Source organism: Homo sapiens, chromosome 9 (genome assembly GCF_000001405.40).
Source record: "Homo sapiens chromosome 9, GRCh38.p14 Primary Assembly".
Classification (NCBI taxonomy): Eukaryota; Metazoa; Chordata; class Mammalia; order Primates; family Hominidae; genus Homo; species Homo sapiens.
Window position 1 is genome coordinate 132065922 of NC_000009.12, and position 24108 is coordinate 132090029.

Consider the following 24108-nt stretch of genomic DNA (forward strand, 5'->3'; position numbering starts at 1 on the left):
TAGAGGGCTAGCAGCATGGCCTTGGACAAGTCACTCTCTATCAAATGAGATGTGATGCCCAACCTGGTCACCAAGGTCCCCTAACAGTCAAAGGAAGTACAGTCCCTGGAGTGTGCTTGGAAACATGGCAGAGGTGGTGCTCAATTACTGCATGCCTGCTCTGTACTCAGTGCCAGGCATGCCAAGACGACTCCAGTCCCCACCCTGGAGAACGGGGCCAGACCCATAGAGCAGGCAGCCGCAGTGTGGTCAGCGTGACTGCCCAGAGGCTGTGGGGCAAAGCCGGCTGAGCTAAGCTCTGCTTGGTCTTCATCGAAGAGACACTTTATCAGGGCTGGAGGAAAGAATGCATTCGCAAAAGTGCAAGGCATTCCAGGCGGAGGCATGGCGAGCAGCAGGGCACAGCTGACCTCTGCAGGCTCCTTGCAGCTGACCCAGGGTGCATCTCGCAGAGCAGCCACAGATGAGGCTGGAGGAGACTTCAGAAACAGCCTCCAATTCCCAGGGTTGAAACAAGTTTGGCAACGTGATAAAAAGACAACAAAGTTCTTGACTTGCCAGCAAGTACTAGATGAGCAAACCGTCCCCAGTGTGATGTGAGGGTCTTAGGGAGTTCCCTTCACCTGGAGAAGTCAGCAAGGAAAAGCAGAAGCTGAGCCAAGACCCTGGCCAGGGACTGGCCCCAGCAACAGGCCTCACCAAGCCCAAGAAACTGTGGTGAGCTGGTGCCTCCCAAAACAAGTAAGTGACTGCGGCAAAGGAAATGCAGAGAGCAAGTTCCAGAAGCCAAAGAAAAGTGCAGTGAGCAGGAGGCAAAACAGATGCCCCAGCTCCCCTCCCGCACACAGGCCAGAAGTCCTGAGCCAGCGCAGAGGATCCCTAAGATTAGCACAGAGCATAGTTTGGGAATCTTCTACTGCCAGAAAGAAAATGAAAAAAATAATAAAAATAAAAATAAAAGCACATAGCAGCCAAAGAACTGGAGAAGAAGCCTCCTGGCACTCACTCCCAGGCCTCCTGCCTCTCAGTGCTCCTGCACCTGACAACAGCCACAACCAAAATCTGAAAAAGTTAAGGTGATGCAAACAGAGGCAGATTCAGAAGGAAAAGAAACCACAATCTAAAAATGACCGAGGAAGAGACTCAGAGGCTCCAATTTCACTCCATTCAAATACTGTTTTATTGCACACTTAGAAATCGTTAATACAAATAATTACCATTTATTAAATGCCACTGTGTGTCCAACGCTGAACTAGAAACTTGATATACAGTTTCCAGTTAGATGCTTAGAACAGCCCTGTGAGATCAGCGCCATGCCCATTTCACAGTCCAGCAGGTGTCAGGTAACTGGCCCAAAGTCTCAGGGCTAATACAGGACAAGCCTTCATCTTGCAGGGAAAACAGACAAGTAAAGGCAATCATGGGGTAAACACAGGGAGCACCTAATTTGGATGCATCTCAAAGCCTTGCTTCCCAGAGATGTTTAACAACTAAGCTGAGACCTGAATGACTAAGAGTTTTCCACAGAAAGAAAGGAGGAGGAAGAACAAGTGCAAAGGCCCCAAGACAAAGAGATGATGGCCCCTTGGGGAACGACAATTACTTCTGTAGACTAGAAGTGGCAAAAAGAAGAAGAGCAGGGAAAGTGGGGAGAGAGGAAGCTGTGCACTAAAGTCTCCATAGACAAAATGCAGGATGTCTGGGCTCCATTTTCACGTATGGACTCCAGTCCTCGCCCCCCAACCAAAAAAGCAAGCAAGCATGCAACAAATTTAGCAAAATGTTCTTTTTGTTGTTGTTGTTGTTTTGAGACGGAGTCTTGCTCTGTCGCCCAGGCTGGAGCGCAGTGGTGTGATCTCGGCTCATTGCAAGCCCCGCCTCCCGGGTTCACGCCATTCTCCTGCCTCAGCCTCCCCAGTAGCTGGGACTATAGGCACCCGCCACTATGCTTGGCTAATTTTTTGTATTTTTTAGTAGAGACGGGGTTTCACCGTGTTAGCCAGCATGGTCTCCATCTCCTGACCTCGTGATCCGCCCACCTCGGCCCAAAATGTTCGTAATAGTTGAAGCTAGGTCATTATTCTCTCACTTTTGTGCATATTTGAAATTTTCCATAATAAAAAGTTTTCATAATAAAAAGGGTTTCTTCCCCCCGCAAAAAGGGGGGAGGAAACAAGCTAGAAGAACAAGTGGTGCTAGACCATGACGACAACAACGGGCCTGTGCTGGGGCTGCTAACGGTCAACAGGTCATGTACAGAGACTCCCCCGGGCCACACACTCGCATGCAGTATTCACATCATCCTCACTGCTACCCTAAGAGGCAGGACTACTCGTGGCATTTTACAGATGAGGAAACTGAGGCTAGGTAAGCCGGCCAAAGGACTCGGGCTCCCGTGTACTATTACTAGAAAGCCTCCAAGTGCCAGCGAGGGAGCTGGAATTCATCCTGAGAGAGAGGGAGGAAATCACCGAAGAGTGACAAAATCAGATCTCTACATTTTAAAGATCCCTCGAGAGCTGCAGAGTGGAAAATAGATTAGAAAGGGTAGACTACAGGCCAGAAACCAGTGGGGAGGCTGCGGCATTGCCCTGAGCAATAATGGAGGCCCGGGGAGAGGCAGTACCAGTCAAGATGGAGAGGGAAGAGCTGAGAGGCTGTGAAGAGGGGAAATCAATAGATCTGTCAGAGGGTGTGAGGGACAGGCAGAAGCGACGGATGACACCCAGGGATCTGGGTAGGTGGCTGGCTAAGGCATCCCACCACGAGAAGCAGGTTGGTGGTGGGGGTGAGGATTTCAGTTCTGGACTGCTTCAGTCTGAGAGGCCTGTGAGTCTCCAAGGGCAGCTGTCCAGCTGGGCCCTTTGATACATGGGTCTGGATGTCGAGGGAGGGAGCCAGCCTGGTGATGGAGTTAGATGTCATTGTGTGTGGCTGGCAAGTGAAGCCACAGAACAGATGAGATGGCCCAGAGAAGGGAGAGAAGCACTAATAACCCAGCGGCCTTCTCCCAAACCAAACCACCATGAAGAGAGAAGACAAGAAAACGGGAGGCTTCTGTACATGTAATGATATGCTTCCTTCCCACCACCAATGTGCAATTTTGCATAAGGACAAATGACAGAGACAATTTCCTTTCTATTCAACATTCCTGGAAGAGAAGAGGAAATGCCCTTCATAGGCTCTGGTTACAATGTACAGAAGGCTCTGGACAAACCACACAAACCTGATCATCCCAGAAAAGGCTGATGGAAGAGAGTCAAGCAGGGTATCAACATGAGTCCCCATGGCCAGTGGCTCCCAGACGGCAAGTTGACACACGTCCAGCAGCCTCTGCAGCCTCCCTGGGGCCGGCCAGTGAGGCTTCCAAAGACAGTTCCTGCTCTTTTACAGAAAAGAATGAGGGAGTCACAAACCTGATTCCAGGCAACAATAAAGTGACTATTTTCAGAAACCACAACTAATAAGTAGAACATAAAGACATGGAATTGGGCCAAAGCCTTGGGATAGAAACCGTTTAGAATGATAGGGGCATGGCTTGATTTTCAGTAATATTTACCTGTGGTGTGTCACAAGAGGCGAATGCTGTCTGCAGAACCTTTGCAAGGTAATTTTCCACTAAAGTCCCTGGGGGCTGCTGCTCCACTCTGGGATATTCTGAGATGCTCTGGAGCATACAAAAAGGCTGTGTGTACTTCAGAAACATTACTGGACTAGAGCTGAAGAGGTGGAAATACTCTCCATTCCTCGGATTACAATTTTGTTTCCACGACCACAGAAATGCAATGATGACTCCAATGAACCTCTCCAGGGCAGAGCTGGAAGGGACTGAAGAGATCACCCAGCCCAACCCTTCATCCTACCGATGAGGAAGGTGAAACCCAGTGGGGGAAAGCCACTGGCAGGAGGCCACATAGCAGGACAGTGGAAGGCCGAGACTGAACAGTGCTCTCTAGAATGCTCTGTCAGAGTTCTCCTGACTGCACACCGCCAGGCACAGCTTCACCGTTCATATTAAAATGAGCAAGAATAAAGGACAGTCGCCGCAAGCACGCCACACTGGGCACCGGCCTAGGTCCCTCAGATGTGCTCAATGCCTTAGTCCCCACGACAGCCCCGGAAGGTGGAAGCTACTGTTATCCACATTGAACAGAGGAGGAGGCTGAGGCAAAGACACGTTCTGCCACTCGTCCCAAATTAGAAAGCTGGGAAAAGGGGGATAAGGATTCAAACCCTATAAAGTCTGACTCCAGAGCCCTGCTGATAACAAGCACCCAGTTTACAACCTGGAGAGAATCCAAAAGTTCTAAATTAGCCTTTGTGTTCAGATATTGTCCTAAAGAAACAGGGCTTGCCGAGCATGGTGGCTCATGCCTGTAATCCCAGCACTTTGGGAGGCCAAGGCTGGAGGATGGCTTGAACCTAGGAGTTTGAAACCAGCCTGGGCGACATAGTGAGACCCCCATCTCTACAAAAAATTTAAAAATTAGCTGGGCGTGGGTGTGCATGCTTGTAGTCCCTGCTACTTGGGGGGCTGATGCAGGAAGACCTCTTGAGCCCATAAGGCTGAAGCTGCAGTGAACCATGACTGTGCCACTGCACTCCAGCCTGGGCAACACAGCAAGACCCTGTCTCAAAAAAAGGCTAAAAATCCCAGACTGGCCCACAAGACTTTTCCCACCAGGTAAGAGGACTATAAAACAGATCTGATTTCCTAGCTCTTACTGAGTACCAAGATGAGAAGAGTCCCCTTTGGTGTGCACAAATATCTGCCTGGGGCAGAATATGCCCTTCTCACCTCCTCTCCATGGTCCTCTCACCACTCCTGTGGTTTGTCCCCAGGATCCTCGCCCTGCCTTTGCCCCTCGACTCCCACACCCCCCACCAAACCCCCAGTCCCTTACCTCCACCCCCAGGTTCTGTGAGGAAAGAACTGCCCCCCACACACTAATTCATATTAATGTGTGAATTGCTGTCTCACTGGAAAAGGTGCTGATTATTCAACAGAATCTCCAATGTGAAGAACTTCAGGAGAATAGCAAAGTCAGGTGTGGGAGGCCTGGTGAGGGAGCAGAAGCCACTGGAAGATGGGCCACCACTGCCTGGAACCTGTCCTCAGCATCGTCTTAAGACAATAATAGCAGCCACTGGAGAGTACTGACTCTGTGCTAGCTTAAGTGCTTTACTTGTATCACCTCATTTTGTCCTCATAACACCTTTCTGAGGTGGGTACAATTATCATTCCCATCTTAGAGAATACAGCACTGAAGCACAGAGAGGTTAGCCTCACAGCTGTCAGGTAACACAGCATGTGAGCCAGAGTGGTCAGGCTCTGGAGCCTACGCTCTGAACCACCGAGCAACACTGCCACTTGATGAACGAGCACACACACGAGAAACAGGCGTCCCATGAATGAGCACACACACATACGTGTAACATGCACCCCATAAATGAGCACACACACGAGTAACGCACACCCCATGAACGAGCACACACACACATGAATAACAGGTGCCTCATAAATGAGCACACACACGAGTAACACACACCCCACAAATAAGTCCATACACGTACGAGTAACACTCACTCCATGAGCACACACACATGCGAGTAACACACACCCCATGAACGAGCACACCAAACACACAAGTAACCCGTATCCCATGAACCTGTGCCCCATGAACGAGCACATGCATACAAGTAACCCACACCTCATGAACGAACACACGCATGAGTAACCCGTGCCCCATGAATGAGCACACGTGTATACGAGTAACACGCGTCCATGAACAAGCACATATGCATACGAGTAATGCACGTCCATGAACGAGCACACATGCATACGAGTAACACACGTCCATGAACGAGCACACATGCATACGAGTAATGCACGCCCCATAAGTGAGTACACACATACACACACCCCATGAACAAGCACACACACACACACGCATAACACGCGCCCCATGGATGAGCACACAAGCATATGAGTAACACACACCCCATAAATGAGTACAGAGGCATATGAGTAACATGCAATCCATGAGTACACAGGCACAGAAGTAACGCACGCCTCATAAATGAGCACACACGTGTATGCGCAACACGCACCCCGTGAACGAGCACACAGGCACTTGCGTAACACACACCCCATAAATAAGTACACATGCATATGAGTAACACGCACTCCATGAGTACACATGCGTACAAGTAACACACGTTCCATAAATGAGTACACACATGTGTACTATCACGATGCCTGGTCATTATAACTACCATTTACTTAGCACTTACTATGTGTGAGTTACCCTAAGACATTTGATGTGCATTATCTCAATCTTCGCTTCAACCCTATGATCCAAATACTAGTATTATCCCCATTCTACAGATGAGGAAACTGATACTCAAAAAGATTTTTTTCCCTTGTATCAAGGGTTGTGAGCTCAAGCATAAGCAGAGCTGGATCAGAACTCAGGTAGTCTTGACTCCAGAACTTACATCTAAGTTTTTATATTTTTGTTATACCTTCCTTGACTTCTGAATCCTGCCATGTATCTTGCTGTCCAGGAGACTGGCTGTATTTCATTGTTTTCTCTGGTTGGCTGTTCTTTTCACAATGGCTCCCACGGTATCCAGGGTTTGCAGGTGGGGAGGGAGGAGGAGGGTGTAGGGTTCAAGGCTAACCAGGGCAGTCTATACTACAGCCAAACTCACTACGCTAGCAAGTTCATTTTGAGTGATGGGGTGCTACGAAGGTTAGATTTAGGTGAAAGAACACCTTTGCCAATAAAAGGACAATTCAGAAGGGTGCTCAATCCTAAAGTCATGATGATTAAATTGTGAGGGGCATTTAAGTGATTTTCTCTCCTATTATATTCTGAAGGAATCTGTATTCCCTGAACATGTAGCAGCTATATGGAGAGAAGAATGAGTCAGGGGTGGGCCTGGTGGGAAGGAAAACACAAGTAGAAATCGGTTATACGTAACTCACAAAGTAGGATAACCCTAAGAGGCTGGTGGAATTGACTCTCCTCTTCCCAGACAGTTTTCACACTGCTGCCAAAATGACAGCCGCCACAGAACACCTGACATCAGGTGCAGCAGCTCAAATTAGCCTGACTCAGGCAACTCCAAAAAACTTCCACCAAGTCCCATTAGAAGGGCACACCAGGTGACAGATGATGTGGATAAAACTGCTACAATCAGCCTTCAAAGAGCTTATCATTGGTTCACCCAATGACCTCACCTTGGCCTTCCAAATGACCCCCAGCCCTGGCCTCCATCATAAGGTCTCCAAATTGCCTCCCATCCAAGCACCACAACTGGCTTTCTCAGTAATGGCTGAAAATGGAAATGCCCTCACTGTACTTCATCAAAAATACAAGCAAGCAAACCACGAAAGGGGTTGTAAATTAAAAATTCAACAGAAAACGCTTCGATTCATTTATTCTTTCATTCTCTCAGTGAATCTTCACTGAATGATTACAGTGTACCAGGCGCCTTGCTAGTTGCTGGGGACTCCCAGCAAGGAACAAGATGGACATGGTGCCTCTCCCCTGAGCCTTATAGTTTACCCTTAATAGAGGACAGAGTCCCTAAAGGAAAGGCTCTGCGTTGCAATGTAAAACGATTCCAACCCTGTTAGTTCCATGATGCAAAAACAGAAAAGAGCACCTTCAGAGATAGATGTGAGAGGTGAACTTTGCAGTAACTTAGTCATTAAGCAACTGGATTCTAATAAGAACAGTTCAGGAGGGCAGGAGGGAGGAAATGTCTTCAGACTTTCCAATGGAATATTCTTGGAATAGAAAGTTGCTCTTTCTGTAATAAAAAAAAAATCAAACGTGAAAAAAAAAAAAGGTAGCAGCAGCACCTCGCTCTGGGCCCATTTCCCAAGCCCAGTAAAAAGTGACACTTCTGGGGTCTTTGCAGCTTCAGATGTTGCCAGGGAAAGGCGGACGTCTTAGTCTGCTTTTCCAGGCAAATATACAAGTAGCCTTCTGCCATAAACAAATGAAAAAAATCAAAGCCAGAAATAAAAGCCTGGTGACAGGATGCCAGAAACCTTCAAAAGAGGACCTTCAGAATAAGTTCAGGTTAACTCTCAGCATCTCTGAACATAATAAGCACTATCAAGTCTACATTGACTATTTTATAGCAAGGACAGCGTTGATGCCAATTATTTTTTGCCCTAGTCAAGAAAGCTTGTCATCCTTCTCACAACAATTATCTATAGGTGCATAATAGTGAAAAGCTAAATTCTTTCCCCAATTCAGTACAGGAAAAGTGCTGCTCACAGCAATTTAACATCATTCCATTAGATGGGATTCATTTTTAAACATGTTATTCTAACAATTATGCCAAGTACCATGTAATTAATATTCCAACTGACTTTACAAAAATTACAAAATCCCCTAAAGAAAATAATTAGTCATTAGGCATGAACGAGACTTTTCTATGGCCAACAGCACATAAAACAGAAAGTTCATCTCATAATGGATGGGTATCAAAGCCTTTCTCATATGTCCTTCAATTCTTAGCCAATAGTGCATAGAGCTGACATTGGCAAGTTACCCCAAACTTCACTTAACCCATTAACGCACTTACTGGTTTAAACTCTTTGAGGGTAAAATGATGAATGATGAAAGCTTTACCAATTAAAAAGCTCTTTTCATTTGTAGGAAAGGCAAGATAAACACATATAATTAATTGTTTGCTTCTTCCATGTTCCCAGCTGGAAATTAGAGTACTGGCTTATTTCTTGAGGCTACTTTTTGTGTTTATTAAAGAAATGTATATAGACATCCTCATCCTTGTTCTCCCTCTTTTCTTTCAGGGTTTTGTGTATTCTTATAATCTACTTTAAATCCCTTCTAGAAAAAGGTAAGGTATAAATAAGTAATAGTCACATAGGACATTATCTGCTATAACAGAAATAAAAAACATGTTTTCCTTGCCGCCCTCCTCTGAATAACTGGCAGTGGCTGCCTAGCGCCAGAACAGAGAGTTACAAGGATTCTAAGCCAACATACACACAGCCTCAGCAGGAAAGAATGCAATGGTTGATTAGTGATGTCTGCCCTAGAAAAAGCAATAGGTTAAGAATCCATGTACCATGTATTTGCCATCTCCACCCTTTGATAAATCACTAAAAATTAGAAAAATACATACAGTTTCATGAATAAAATATAATGTGAATTGTTTCCAGGATGCAAGTAAACGGGGAAAAAAATTGTTTTCTACAGTTGAAAACCTTAAGCAAAACTGGACTAAAACATCAAGTTTTAGAGGAAAGAACATTGAACCAGGTCAGGAAACCCAAATTCTGGTCTAGCTTGGGGAGCTATAAACAGGTCAGTTTACTGGGCCTCAGTTTGCGCACCTCTAAAATAAGGGGCTGAGTCTCTTAACTGTTCTCTTGTGCTGGTGAAAGAACATGGTTCTTTTACAGATGCTTAACCTCAGCAGGCCGGGGGCATGGCTACAACCTCGACACCTCCTCACATTGCTCATATGAGATTTATAATCTGGGATAAATGCATACGGATATTTTTAACCTGTAGCATTTCCAGCACAAGAAGTTCCACATACATAACATTTCTTTTCCTTAATACAACCTATTTTCCACTGTGGGGCAAGGGTGGGGGTTGAAGTAGGAACTTCTAATAGTAGAACAATTCAGTGATTAAACTACCTTCATTCAAAAGTTCAGTGTCATCACTTCAATGTAAGACTAGTCATTTCCACGAAGTGTCCCACTCACTCATGGTTTTGAGATCAGCCTGAATCTTCTCACCACTGAATAGCCCTTGTCACTGTAGCCTATTTTGAGAACTTTACCCATGGAATACATCAACATGGCTTCCTTTTCCAAACACCTATCTGTGTAGAGCTGGAACAGTCCCACGTCTGGCCTAAAAAACTGCAACAGACATCTGTGATTTCTCCAACTGCCCTGCATCCATCCCTTCCGGGAACTCCCTCTCTCCCAACTCCAAGGAACCCCATTTCCTGTGTTTCAGGTGCTCTGAGCTGAGGATCCCACCCACGGGTGCAGTGAATCATCTCAGAGGGCACCTATCAAGTTTGGGCCAGAATCCTTTTTCAGAGCCTGACATGGACACTGGGAGGTCACCAGGTATAAGAACTATGTATATCCACAGCTGCTGAGTCATGTTTTTTATCCCTTGGAGAGCATCAGGACAACAAAGGAAAGCAGTCCTAGAGAGGGCAGGAGAGTGATGTTCCTGCCACCCACCCAAGCACCCTGATCCTCCTGAGTTCAGCCACAGAGAAGTAACTCCCTGAACATTTTAGTTCCTTGAACCAATGAAGGCCCCATGCTTTTTTTTTTGGCTAAATCTAGACCCAGCTGGGTTTCTGTCACTGGCAGTCCAGAGTTTTGGGGAAAGGCTTTACAGGCTAAATGTATGCATTCAAGGTTCAAGTTCTTTCTTTAGTAACCCATGATAAATCACCTTCCTGAATCACAAAGCAGCTCCCACGGTTCCACTTCAAACCAAAGAATACTAAAACACCCTCAAAGAGAAATTCAAAGAAAAAATTCTGCACACCAGAAAAACTCTCAAGCTTTAGCTCTTACTCAAGACCTAAGGGGAAAAAAAACCACAGAAACGAGGAAAATGACAATGGATTACTGGAGGGGGCACAACCCTGCATACAGTTAAACAACCAACAATTCTAACAACAATTATTCAAAGAGGCAGCACAGTATAATAAAAGAGCTTCCAAAATCATTCCTAAAATATATATTCTAGTTCCCAATCAACAAAAAAAGCCCATACACACATGTACGCCACACCACATAGCACCCAAACAAAAGGAACTTGTTAGTAAACAAACGAACCGTTTCCAGATTCATGAGCCTAATTGTTTCTGTTATTTTTCAGCTACAGTTTAGTTTGCAACTTACAGCTGTCCTAGGGTCTCTGCCACAGGCCTGCCTGCTGAAAGAAACCATGAATATCAAACTCTACAGAGCATGTTAAGAACAATCTCCCTTAGGTGGCATCTAAGTAATTAGAGAGTCATCTAACAAACGGTATTCTAGTGATGCTCATCCATCTGTGACAGAGGAAAAGACAATACAAGAACATAATGTGCGCAGCTAAACATTTAGACACCTCCTGGGGGCCACAGATTCCTCTGCGAACCTGACAAAAGCTAGGAAGCCTTCCCTAGATATACATGCACATACCACAACATACTGCATATAATTTTAAGGGGTTCATAAGAGTTGCTCCCTATACCCAGTCTCCAGGTTAAATACACCTGAGTTAGAATTTTTAACATGTAATCACCTGAACATCATGAATCCCCAAAGACTTCAAAGGACTACAAAATAGGTTACAGAAAAATTCTACAACTTCCAACTCTATAACCCCATGCTGAATCAAGAACATAAAAAGCAATAAAAACATACTCTTGCTTTCTGCATGTATGGAATATAAGAAAACTTGGTTTTCCATATATTAGCTCCGTTTATTACATCTCCCTTACCTTGTTTGACCACTTATATGCTTGAAGGAGTTGACTATAGAGAGGAGTTTTGTCCTGCACAGGATCCAGGCTTAACAGCCCACTGTTATGAAGAGGATGGTTCTCAGATGGCTTGCCTACCAGATTGCTCAGACGTTCCAGCTCACTGAAAAGCAAAGAGACAAGGCAAATAAACCTAAGCCCATTTACACTCCAGGGTAAAGCCAGCCCCCAGGATCAAAGACTGCTCTTCAAACCATCCATCAGAAGTCCCTTAAGAAGAAATACTTTTTGAAAGGTTAAAAAATACTTGGGACACTTAAAAAAAAAAACCCTAAATGAGAGTTTATCTGACTTTAAAACAGAGCTTCTGGTGCCATTCCAAAGGAGGAAAAAAAAGGTAAGGGCAGTAGAATCAATAAGACCCCCATAATCAGAAATTAACAACTCAAATTCATCCCTGCAGTGGGGAGGAGACTTTCTGGAATTTTGAAATGTGGTATAACACTGCCTCTCACTAAGAGTTTTCAGACCCACGTGCAGATCATTACACTTGGCAGAACAGCAAGTACCTGATTAAATGATGATTATTTATCATTCACATAGGGATAGATTTGTACATGATGCTTCACAGATGGTAAAACTTAACAAAACAAAGAAGAGATAAAATAAACAAATGGAATGGGAAGACACCACTGAGGTGGCTGTGTCAAACAAACACACTTCAGTCTAGCAGGAAAACCCTAGAGAAGCTTGGGAAAGCGAGCCAACAAGAGCACATTCCAGGAGTACGTTCTGAGGGGCCAGTCCCAAACTGCCAACAAAAGACTCTCTAGGAACAGCTTCTTATGCCACATTCATTTTGGAATCATCAGCCACCTTCTTCTTGGCACTACTGTACAAAGATTTAAGAAGGCAAAAGGATAATGTCAGCACTCTTAAAGTTTCTATTTAAAATGGTGAAGGGTTATAATATCCTGAACATTACAAAGGGAAGTAACTCGGAGAGAAAATGGAAAGAAAACAGAAGATAGGGAAGAATAGCCAGTGCATCCCCTGAAGCAGAGAAAGTATTAACTGGTGCTCGGCGCGGTGCCAGAGAACAGCAAGCGGATGTGGGCGTTGAGGAGGGCTGTGTGATTTACGGCAACTACTTAGGGGGAAAACAAAAAGGCACCCATCATTTGGCCACCTCCTCCTCCTCCTCCTCCATCCTACCTCCTCTTTCCATCTGGTTACTAAGGAGACCAAGTTGAAAAAACAAAAATCCAACCAGTCCAGAAATCAAAGGATGACTAGCTCACCAAATGCTTTCCCCTACTCAGGTCAGTTCTGAGAAGTAAAAGGCAAAAATCCTGAAATTCTAACCTTCCTGGGAAGGACTGACTCTCTTATAAAACAGAAGGCAAGTTCAGGACCTAAGCAATCAAGAAGTGCCTACTATGTGCCAGGCCCTTTACAAACATCCTCTCATTTAATTCTTACAACACTTAAAAAGTGTAAGTGAAGAAGGTACTTTGTAAGGAAGAGGAGGAAAAGTGGAATCCTTAACCCTAAAAGACTACAAATTAAGAAGCAGGGGCGTTAAGCATAAGTAATTAAACTGGTTAAGAGATTAGAGAGTAGGTCTCTACTGCGGAAGGAACTCCCACAGGAGTGGGAGTGAGGAAACTGATCAGGTGGTTTGGGAGCGGTTAGGGGAAAAGGTGAAGACAGCTCAAGGCCTGGCCGGTCCGTCGTGGTTGCGGGTGGGTGGTGGTGGAACTGATGAAGTCCAAGTTCAGGGCCGGGGAATTGGGGCTAATCAGATCGGGTGCACTTGGGTTTGGAGCCGACTGACCAGGTCCTGTCTGTACTATTACTACATTCGGATCAGACGTGATGGGGCACAGAGGGCCTACAGGTGAGAAACCTGCCAAGCTCAGAGAAGTGGAAGTTCATGGGAAAAGCATGCCTCCTTGTTAGGAATGGAACCGCCACAGAAGAGGTCGAGGATGGCGGAAGACAAACAGGACCAGGAGGCCAGGAGAAGCAAGACGAGAAAGCGGGGATGGTGTTAAGATGTCCCTGAGGGACAGGCAGAGGCTTGGAGAACAAGAAGAGAAAGAACAGGGATCAAGGGAAACGGAGAACAGCCCCTGCCTGGGAAGACTCGAGCGACGTAGGGGCAGGGTCGGAGCGGGGCCGGTCCCCGACCCCGGCCCCTTCAGCCGGTACCTACTTGAGGTCCCGGTTGACCGAATGTAAGTTGTCCTGGAAGTGCGCAATAAAGGCCTTCTCCCGGCCCTCCAGCGTCTCCTTGTTCCGCATCCCATCCTTCAGGCAGTCGAACACCCTGCTCACGCTGGAGCGCAGCGCCTGGATGGCACTAATGGCCTGGGAAAAGGCCTCCAGGTTCACACTGACATTTATCACGTCCGCCATGTTGCCGCCGCCACAGCAGCTCTCCAAAGCCGGCTTCGCAAGCAAAAAAGCCGCGCTCGCTGATGACGTATCTCCGAAGACCTCTGGGAAATGCAGTTCGCGCGGGGCTACCCAGAAAGCACTTTCGAAAAAGGGTTTCCCCTTGAGCTAAACTAATGCATGGGCAGGAAAGTGATTTTTCTCAACTTGGGGAAGTCAGGTTGCACTCCCGGTTTGCTTAATGGTGACAAAGAAATACAGAAAGTTCCCGCATTTCCCCAAACTTGCACTCTGGGGAATCATAGGGAAAAGAATTGCTCAGAGCAATAGTGTAAAAAGGAAAGGAACATAGCCCATTCAATAAAATGAGTCCATATTCATAAATAAAGCGGGGAGAAGGAAAGTTTCTTCTTTCCAATAGAATGCCAGCTCATAAATGCAGAAAGAGTGATGGAATTAGAAAATTGCCATTTGACAGCCATTAGAATAATTGATTCAGATAGAAATCGATGGATGCTAAAACTAGTGGGTGAAAGTGTCAGAAAAATAACAGGCTTTTTAGGTAATCTCAAAGTATCGTCCCCCAAGATGCTTATTAATTAAGAAGAGGAAAATAATGATCCAGAGATTCCACTTCTGGGCATATACCCAAAAGAAGCGAAAGCAGGGACTCAATACCTGTACACATGTTCATAACAGCATTATTCACCAAATAGCCAAAAGGCAGGGGAAACCCAAGTGTCCATAAACTGATGAATAAACAAAGTGTGATACTGGCATACAATGAAAAATTCTTCAGGCTTAAGCAAGAAAATTCTGACATATGCTACCTGGAGGAAACTTGAAGACATTATGCTAAGTGAAATAAGCCAGTCACAAAAAAACAAAATTCTGTGTGACTCCACTTATATGAGGTGTTTAGGGTAGTCAAAATGTTAGAGACAGAAAGTAGAATGGTGGCTGGTTTACAGTGAACACACACCTCTGAAAATAACATACATAGCATAGAGGTTGTGGAAGAAAGAGAAGGTTTGGGATTTAAATAAAACCAACAAAATGTTGGCCAAATCTGGCTTTATGGAAAAATTCAATGTCTCTTTGTCCTGTTGGCTATAGACAGGTTTCTGAAAATTTATTATCTTTTTACTAAAGGGAACCTGCCCAAGTCCTCATGTTCTTTCCTTAGAGGAGCTGGGGTTGCATAGCTTGGAGCAGAGAAGAGGAGAGCAGGAGGCAGATCATGATTGTGACCTTCAACTCACCTTCATGTCAACCCAAGACAAGAGTCCTCCTTGGTTAACTAGTGGCAATAACAATAACCAGTTGTAGGAAGGCTGTAGAGAGGAAGATTTCAGCATAATATTGCAAAGGGCCATATTTAAGTCTGTACTTAAAGAGTACAGACTTGGAAAAGTTTTACAGCTGGATGGTGGTGATGGCCATACAACAATGTGATTGTACTTAATGCCACAGAACTGGACACTTAGAAACAGTGAAAATGGTTGATTTTATATTATGTATATTTTACCAAAAAATTTTAAACAATTCATTAATGTAAACATAAGGGGGGATGGATAGTGACTTAATAGTGACTTCACAGTGGAGAAACATGGCAGACACCAGCTTAACCAAAAGGCCAAGGTCAACATCACCAGTGACGGGACATGTTGTGCACCTCCTGATACAATGCACTGGAAAGAGCACAACATGACCTCCATGATATTCTTGCCAGCAGTGCATAACCTGAATCTAATCAGGACATCAATAGAACTCAAACTGAAAAACGTGACAAAATAACTGACTGACCTATACTTTTTCAAGAAATATCTGTGTCAGGCCATACACTGTGGCTCACACCTGTAATCCCAGCACTTTGGGAGGCCAAGGTGGGTGAATCATTTGAAGTCAGGAGTTCGAGACCAGCCTGGCCAACGTGGTGAAACCCCATCTCTACTAAAAAGACAAAAAATTAACTGGGCGTGGTGGTGGGCACCTGTAATCCCAGCTACTTGGGAGGCTGAGGCAGGAAAATTGCTTGAACCTGGGAGGTGGAGGTTGCAGTGAGCCAAGAGTGCATCATTGCACTCCAGCCTGGGCAACAAGAGCAAGACTCAGTCTCAAAAAAAAAAAAAAAAATTACATATATATATATATATATGTCTGTGTCACGAAAGACATGAAGGTTGAGAAATTCTTCCAGATTAAAGGAAACCAAAGAGCTGTGACAACTGAGGGCAATGTGTGAGCTAGGATCTTCTTTTGCTGATACAACTGGGACAATTGGTGAAATCCGAGTAAGATCTGTAGATGAGTTAACAGTATTTTATCAGTGATTGTATTGGTCTGTTCTTGAACTGCTATAAAGAAATACCTGAGACTAGGTAATTTGCAAAGAAAAGAGGTTTAACTGGCTTATGTTTCTGCAGGCTGTACAGGTACCATGACTGGAGAGGCCCCAGGAGGCTTTCAATTATGGGGGAAGGTGACAGGAAGCAGGCGCATCTTACATGGCTGAAGCGTGAAAGAGGAGGAGGTGCCACACACTTTTAAACAACCAGATCTCGTGAGAACTCACTCACTATCACGAGAACAGCAAGGGGGGAATCCACCTCCATGATCCATCCGCCTCCATGATCCAATCACTTCCCATCAGGCCCCTCCTCCAACACTGGGGATTACAATTTGACATGAGATGTGGGTGGGACATAGAGCCAAACCATATCATTGATAATTTCATGATTTTGTTCATTGTACTGTGGTTATGGAAGAGGATGTCTTTGTTTTGGGGGAAATACACCCTGAAGAGAAAAAAGATCATCATTATGTCTACATGAAAAAGAAAATAAAATGAATATGTTTATTTAGAGAGAGAAGGCGAAAGCAGATGTGGTAAAATGTCAACAGACACGGAATCTGGGTGAAGGGTATACAGGAATACTTTGTATTATTCTTGCAAGTATGAAATTATGTCAAAATAAGTTTGTTTTTGTTTTTTTTTTTTGAGACGGAGTCTCACTCTTTCGCCCAGGCCTGACTGCAGTGGAGCTATCTCAGCTCACTACAAGCTCTGCCTGCCGGGTTCACGCTATTCTCCTGCCTCAGCCTCCCGAGTAGCTGGGACTACAGGCGCCCGCCACCGCGCCCGGCTAATTTTTTGTATTTTTAGTAGAGACCGGGTTTCACCGTGTTAGCCAGGATGGTCTCGATCTCCTGACCTTGTGATCCGCCCACCTCGGCCTCCCAAAGTGCTGGGATTACAGGCGTGAGCCACCGCGCCCGGCCAATAAGTTGTTTTAAATGGCCATCCAGGCCAGGCGTGGTGGCTCATGCCTGTAATCCCAGCACTTTGGGAGGCCAAGGCGGGAGGATCACCTGAAGTCGGGAGTTTGAGACCAGCCTGACCAACGTGGAGAAACCCTGTCTTTACTAAAAATACAAAATTAGCCGAGCGTGGTGGCACATGCCTGTAATCCCAGCTACTAGGAAAGCTGAGGCAGGAGAATCGCTTGAACCCTGGAGGCGGAGGTTGCGGTGAGCCGAGATCACGTCATTCCACTCCAACCTGGGCAACAAGAGTGAAACTCCGTCTCCAAAAAAAATAAATAAGTAAGTAAATAAAAAGGCCATCCTTAAGAGGCAGGGAAAGTCTAAACCACCGTCTAGGTGGTAAGAAAAATCTTCAGTTCAGCCAGACTGTGCTGACAAGGATTTTGAAATTGGGTAGTTCACCTCAGTTCCACCTCCTTAATAATTCCCCACTTCCCGGCCAAGTGCGGTGGCTCACGCTTGTAATCCCAGCACTTTGGGAGGCCGAGGAGAGCAGATCACTCGAGGTCAGGAGTTCAAGACCAGCCTGGCCAACATGGTGAAACCCCGTCTCTACTAAAACATACAAAATTTAGCCGGATGTGCACAAAACTTAGTCTGGCGTGGTGGCACGTGCCTGTAATCCCAGCTACTCGGAAGGCTGAGGCAGGAGAATCGCTTGAACCCAGAAGGTGGAGGTTGCAGTGAGCCGAGATCGTGCCACTACACTCCAGTCTGGGCGACAGAGCCAGACTCTGTCTCAAAAAAATTCCCCACTTCCTCCCAGCCTGACCGCACCACCTCGGTTCAAATCCTCTAGTTCTGGAAACACAAAGATGAATTCTGCTAAGAAACTGGACCCCGACAAACCAACTATTAAACACTATTTAAATTAATTGTCTCTTGCAAGAAAGCTGTTTTGTCTTGAGATTATATAGTTGCTTCCATTTCCTGACATCTAGCTCACCTTTACAATGTGGTCATTTATAGCTTTTCTTAAGGGAAGGGATGAAGATAACAGGAAACTTCTAGCTGTGGAGCTTTAACAAGTTATTGAACCTCCCTGAATCTGTTTCCTTGTCTGTAAAACAGACTGGTAATAATACCTATCTTCATAAAATAGCTGTGAGGTTTAATAACACCTTGCAGGTGAAGCTTTTGAAATAATGCTTGGTAGATAATAAACGCTCAGAAGAGCATAGCTGTTAGGAGAAGGTGTCTGTGAATTATGCTTCTCATCCCACTGAGAATTCTTTACATAGACTCAAGCAAGGATTAGCAATGGGATTATTAGTTCAAATTATCTCTAATGACATGATCTTGTTGCTAATAGCTGGTCAATGAATTTTATCCCATAATTCACTATATTTGGTGGTTTTTTTGTTTTTGTTTTTGTTTTTGTTTTTGTTTTTGAGATGAGTCTCGCTCTGCTGCCCAGGCTGGAGTACAGTGGTGCAATCTCAGCTCACTGCAACGTCCGCCTCCCAGGTTCAAGCAATTCTCCTGCTCAGCCTCCCAAGTAGCTGGGATTACAGGGGCACGCCACCATGCCCTGCTAGTTTTTGTATTTTTCGTAGAGATGGGATTTCACCATGTTGGCCAGGCTTGTCTCCAACTCCCAGCCTCAGGTGATCCGCCCGCCTCTGCCTCCCAAAGTGCTGGGATTACAGTCGTGAGCCACCGCCCCTGGCCTTGGTGGCCTTTTTGTCACCTTTGGAATGTAGGGGTAAGGCTTTTTCCTAAGGTTTTGGTAGAAAATATTTTTTAACTTTACAAAAGTAAAGGAAGTAAAAGTAAAGAGAAATATCTTTGTTCGTTGGCTTGTTTTGGTTTTGGCTTTGGTTTGTTCATTCTTTCTAGGAAAAGAGTAGAGGAGGCAAATTCTATTATCTTAGGTACTTACCTTTTGGGGGTTCCTGAAGGATTAGAAAATGTGACTCATGTGGTATATTTTGTCCCCAGGAAAAAAAAAAGTACCAATCTATTTCTACCCTCACCCACATATGCCCATAAACATGAGATTTTATGTACAATTTCAGGGGGTTCATAGCACCACCCTCCAAAGCCCAAACATGAACCTCTCGTTAAGGATCATACTCTAGCACAAACACCGTTGGGTGTCCAATGCCTGGGACTCAATAAGCACTCAGTATAAGTTGGTGGAAGCAATTAATTAATGCAATATGTTATATTTACTTTCTTGGATCCTCTCTCCAAATTATTCCATCTCTTTGTGTATGCAGATCCCATCTCTGCCTCATGCTTAGTCTCACACATACAATAAGATTTTTCTTTGTCTCACTGTCTGATTCAGTGGTTTAGACTCTGATTGGTGCAATAAAGTACAAATAGACTTTGCTCCCATAGCCATTAGTTTTCAGGATTTCTCTGTGGCTCCCCTCTTCTGGGAAACTCAGAAATTGATCAGTGGAAATACACATTTCCCCTGAACATAGTAAGGAGTCTTTTATCACATCAACAGAAAACTTTTCATTTTGGAAAGGAATGGACAGAGTTTCTCTAAGGGGTCGTAAATTCTTGGGAATGTTGGCACTTACACGCCTGCATCTGTGTGTGTTTGTGGGATATAAATTACTTTAAAGGAGTTCATTTCGAGCAATATCAGATTTTAATTATTATGATCTTATGTTTGGGTAAAAGGCAGCGCCCTGCTGTTAATATCTTCCAAAATGAACAAGCCATTAGCTTGGTGCTATTAGCTCAGGAGTATTAGAATGAGCAATCAGAATTAAAGTTGTCAGTATTTAATTAAAATATGCTGCAACTCCCATCATATTCGGAGAGCATGTGGTTTAAGCATTCAGACTGAGAAGGCACCCTCATTAATTAATAATTATTAAGGATTCGCTAGGTGCAGAGCAATGCATTCGACGGTTGGAATGTCACCAGAGAGATTTAAAATCAAATCTGCCTCAGATAAGCCACAACGTAACTAAGCCACATGTCGTAATCAGTGTGGCATAACGCTTAAGACCTTGCAGGTTGTTCTGATGATTAAATTAAGGAAGCATCCAGTTCTGGGGACATAGTAGGCATTCGTTTTAGTCCTCAACAAATATATATTGAATGTGCCCAACATTTTGCTAAACCTCTGGGGAGTCAATGGTACAGCCCAATAAATATCACCGAAAATATCTGAAGTGGGTTTTGTGTTCTTCCATGTTTACCTGGTTAAGGCTCAGAACAACCAACATTTTTAAATTGCTTAGAATCAGGTTTATTATAACTAATCTAAAACAAGTATGGTAAAGAATCCTCTTTTAGTCCTCTCTGAACTTTTCCTCTTATTTCCTTCCTATGATGATTTTGACACGATGCTGATGCTGACGATGGTTACCATGAGGACAATGACCCACATGATCCCAGGGACAAAGCGGACCCTGGAAGTCAGAAAATCTTCATAGACTAGGGCCTTGGCCCCACTGGTATTTCTCAGATGCATAAGTTAACCCTTCCAGGCCTCAGTTCTTGCAGCTAGAGAGTAAGAAAGTGAATCCCCTCTGGGGCTAACAATCCAAGGGTAGGTGATTCAGAGGAACTTGTTCAAGAAGGAGGACAGGGAGGGAATCCTTAACCGTCAACCCTGATCATAACCACCATGCCAGGATTCCTGCATTCCTGATTCATTCATTTATTAGGGAGTATCCACCCAATAAAAGGATTAAATAAAGATCCAGGTAGAACGTGTTCCTGTTCTCATGGCACCTGCCCACCAGCTTGGTAGGGTAGGCAGACACAATCAGAACATGAAACACAGTGAGGTTCAAGTGCAAGGTAAGAGACATACATGGAGAATTGTGGAGTCCCTAGACAGTATGGTCAGAGCATCCTCCTGGAGAGGGGAGGCTTGAGCCATACTGCCAAGGTACATAGGGGCTGACCAGGTGAAGTGGGGGTAGAGGTAAGGGAGGACCATCTGGCCAGGGCAAAGTCTCCAGAGTGAGAAGCCGCATAGAGTGTGGAGGGGCGGAGCTTGCAGCAAGGAGCCAGAAAGGCCTTGGATGGCATTTAATAAATAAATGGAATAACTGTTGTGTATCCTGAGCTTCCCTCTGTAGGTAGGGGCGGGGCAAGTGCAATAGATGGTTAAAGCAGGGGGTGTCATGTGATCAGATCTCTTTTTGCAAGTCCACTGTCTAGCTATGGAGAAAGTGGGCAGATGTGCGCGAGCTCAGAAGCAGAGAGATCAGAAAGGCAGGGGAGACCTCCACCTGCAGAACAGCCAATGAAGGACACACAGGAGCCATACTCTTCCCATCACAGGAAGCCAGAAGGTATTTTAAATATTTTAGTAAATTATTGATTGCCCATTTGGATGCTCACTTAATCAACCACTGGGTATGTTGTTAGGGGCCTCCACTCTCTGCCATGTTCATACGTAATTAAGTACAAGACGTCTCAGGAACGGACCCTTTTACCAACACATTAGGCCAAATCAAAGTGAAACAAAACACGCATTGTTTGTGCAGCCTCAACCGCAGCCCATTTGAGGGAGGAATTGCCTTCTAATTCTATTACTGAGTTATGTGGATGGTGCATTTTAATCAAGAGGGTCAGTGGTCTGCCAGCATCAGAAGCTACTAAACCTGGAGTCTTCACCCAGCACCTGAGTGCAAAGGGCAGATGCCTGGCTTCCAAGGCCCCAGGGAAGGCCAGGGCACATGGGGCGGTAGCAGCTCTAGGATTTTTGTCTCAGGAGCTCCTATTCAGCTCTCCCTACCCCTCCCAACACCCTCTCTAGCTTTCCCTCCCCCAACTCTCCATAAGATAACAAAGGGAGCTAGTGAGATTCCAGACAAAGCAACAGTCCATTCGCCTTGAAACAAGAGCCTTATTTTTCTTAATTTTCCTGATTACAAAATACATGCTTACTTTGCAATCTGGGAAACCATAGAAAAAGCCTACATAAGAAAATTAAGACCGGATGAGGTGACTCACACCTGTAATCCCAGCATTTTGGGAGGCGAAGGTGGGAGATCAATTGAGCTGAGGAGTTTGAGACCAGCCTGGGCAACATGGTGAAACCCTGTCTGTAGAAAAAATACAAAAATTAGCCAGATGCGGTGGTGCCCGCCTATAGTTCCAGCTACTCAGGGGGCTGAGGTGGGAGGTTCACTTGAGCCAGGGAGGCAGAGGTTGCAGTGAGCCAAGATGGCACCACTGCATTCCAGCCTGGACAACAGAGTGAAATTCTGTCTCAAAAAAAAAAAAATGGCCAGGCATGGTGGCTCATGCCTATAATCCCAGCACCTTGGGAGGCCAAGGTGGGTGGATCACTTGAAGTCAGGAGTTCAAGACAAGCCTGGCCAACATGGTGAAACTCCATCTCTACTAAAAATACAAAAATTACCTGGGTGTGGTGGTGTGAGCCTGTAATCCCAGCTACTTGCGAGGCTGAGGCAGGAGAAATCGCTTGAGCCCAGAAGACAGAGGTTGCTGTGAGCTGAGATCAAGCCACTGCACTCCAGCCTGGGTGACAGAAAGAGACTTTGTCTCAAAAAAACAAAGAAAAAAAATTAAGTTATGCATAATCCTACCACTCCACATTTTGATTATTTCCAAATATACATTCTTTTACAAAATTAGAATCATACTATTTGGAGACCTCCATCTTTCATAATATAGATTAAATACTCTATCATTAAAAAATCATCTTCCAAAACATCATTTTAATGACCATCAAAGATTCTATTCAATGGCTTTGCAGAATTTATTGAATTCCCTGTTGCTGATGGCTTAGGTTTCCTACCTTAAACGATACAGCCAGCTGTGGACATGCTAATTTGTAAGTCTGTGTGTGTGTAAAGTAGACACATTCCCTGCAATTGATGCGTGGTCACCGTTTGGCTAGAAAACACCTTCCCTGTTTGGGAGTAATCATGCAGAGGACAGCCAGGAGCCTGGTTTTCACCTCACTGGTATCACCAGTCCATTATTGGGAGGCAGTGGGTGGTAGAGGTGGAGAGAGAGATGATGATATGGTTTGGTTGTGTCCCCACCCAAATCTCATCTTTACTTGTAGCTCCCATAATTCCCACATGTTGTGAGAGGGACCTGGTGGGAGATAATTGAATCATGGGGGTGGTTTCACCCATACTGTTCTCATGGTAGTGAATAAGTCTCATGAGATCTGATGGTTTTGTAAGAGGTTTCCCCTTTCGCTTGGGTCTCATTCTCTCATTCTCTTTGCCTGCCACCATGTAAGAAGTGCCTTTCACCTTCTGCCATGATTGTGAAGCCTCCCTAGACACGTGGAACTGTGAGTCCATTAAACCTATTTTTCTTTTCTTTTTTTCCTTTTTCTTTTTTTTTTTTTTTTTGAGATGGAGTCTCACTCTGTCACCTGGCTGGGGTGCAGTGGCACGATCTCGGCTCACTGCAACCTCCGCCTCCCAGGTTCAAGCAATTCTCCTGCCTCAGCCTCCTGAGTAGCTGGGACTACAGGCATGCGTCACCATGCCCGGCTAATTTTTGTCCTTTTAGTAGAGACTGGGTTTCACCATGTTGGCCAGGATGGTCTCGATCTCTTGACCTCACAATCCGCCCGCCTCGGCCTCCAAAAGTGCTGGGATTACAGGTGTGAGACACTGTGCCCAGCCAAACCTCTTTTTCTTTATAAATTACCCAGTCTTGGGTATGTCTTTATCAGCAATGTGAAAACAGACTAATATAGATGGAGAGGCTTTAGGAGACAGACAGACAGACGTGTGCTCAAGTCCCAGCTCTGCCACTTTTGGAGTGATCCCATTATAGAAGTGTGGCCACACTAACAAATGCATAAAAAGCTACAGGTGGTTTGAAGGGAGAAGAGTTTATGGTCTTGCGTGATGAGTGGTCTGGAGATACATAATGAGAGGCTGATGCCAGGGTTCATCAGCA

At 45.1% G+C, this 24108-nt stretch overlaps 1 protein-coding gene across 6 annotated transcripts in view, besides 2 other annotated features; it reads right to left on the minus strand.

Annotated features, from left to right (window-relative positions):
- The window catches only part of MED27 (mediator complex subunit 27), a 219756-nt gene extending 205810 nt beyond the window's left edge, over positions 1-13946 (minus strand). For 5 of the 6 annotated variants that reach the window (NM_001253881.2, NM_004269.4, XM_017015329.2 and 2 more), the window contains exons 1-2: positions 13721-13946; positions 11521-11665 (exon numbers count right to left, since the gene is read on the minus strand). In NM_001253881.2, coding sequence (NP_001240810.1) covers positions 11521-11665; positions 13721-13923 — 348 coding nt within the window. In that variant the 5' untranslated portion in view covers positions 13924-13946. Of the gene's footprint in view, positions 1-7429; positions 7822-11520; positions 11666-13720 lie in introns of those variants that run through there. The other variant, NM_001253882.2, reaches the window with a different exon arrangement.
- Positions 9720-10919: an enhancer, noted in NCBI's record as "MED14-independent group 3 enhancer chr9:134951028-134952227 (GRCh37/hg19 assembly coordinates)". NCBI's record gives its function as "activates an origin of replication core promoter dependent on BRD2, BRD4, P300/CBP and CDK7 cofactors, and independent of MED14, by STARR-seq in HCT116 cells {active_cell/tissue: HCT116}" and the evidence as "EXISTENCE:reporter gene assay evidence [ECO:0000049][PMID:35650434]".
- Positions 13843-14122: an enhancer, noted in NCBI's record as "active region_29216". NCBI's record gives its function as "activates an Ori minimal core promoter by ATAC-STARR-seq in GM12878 lymphoblastoid cells {active_cell/tissue: GM12878}" and the evidence as "EXISTENCE:reporter gene assay evidence [ECO:0000049][PMID:35858748]".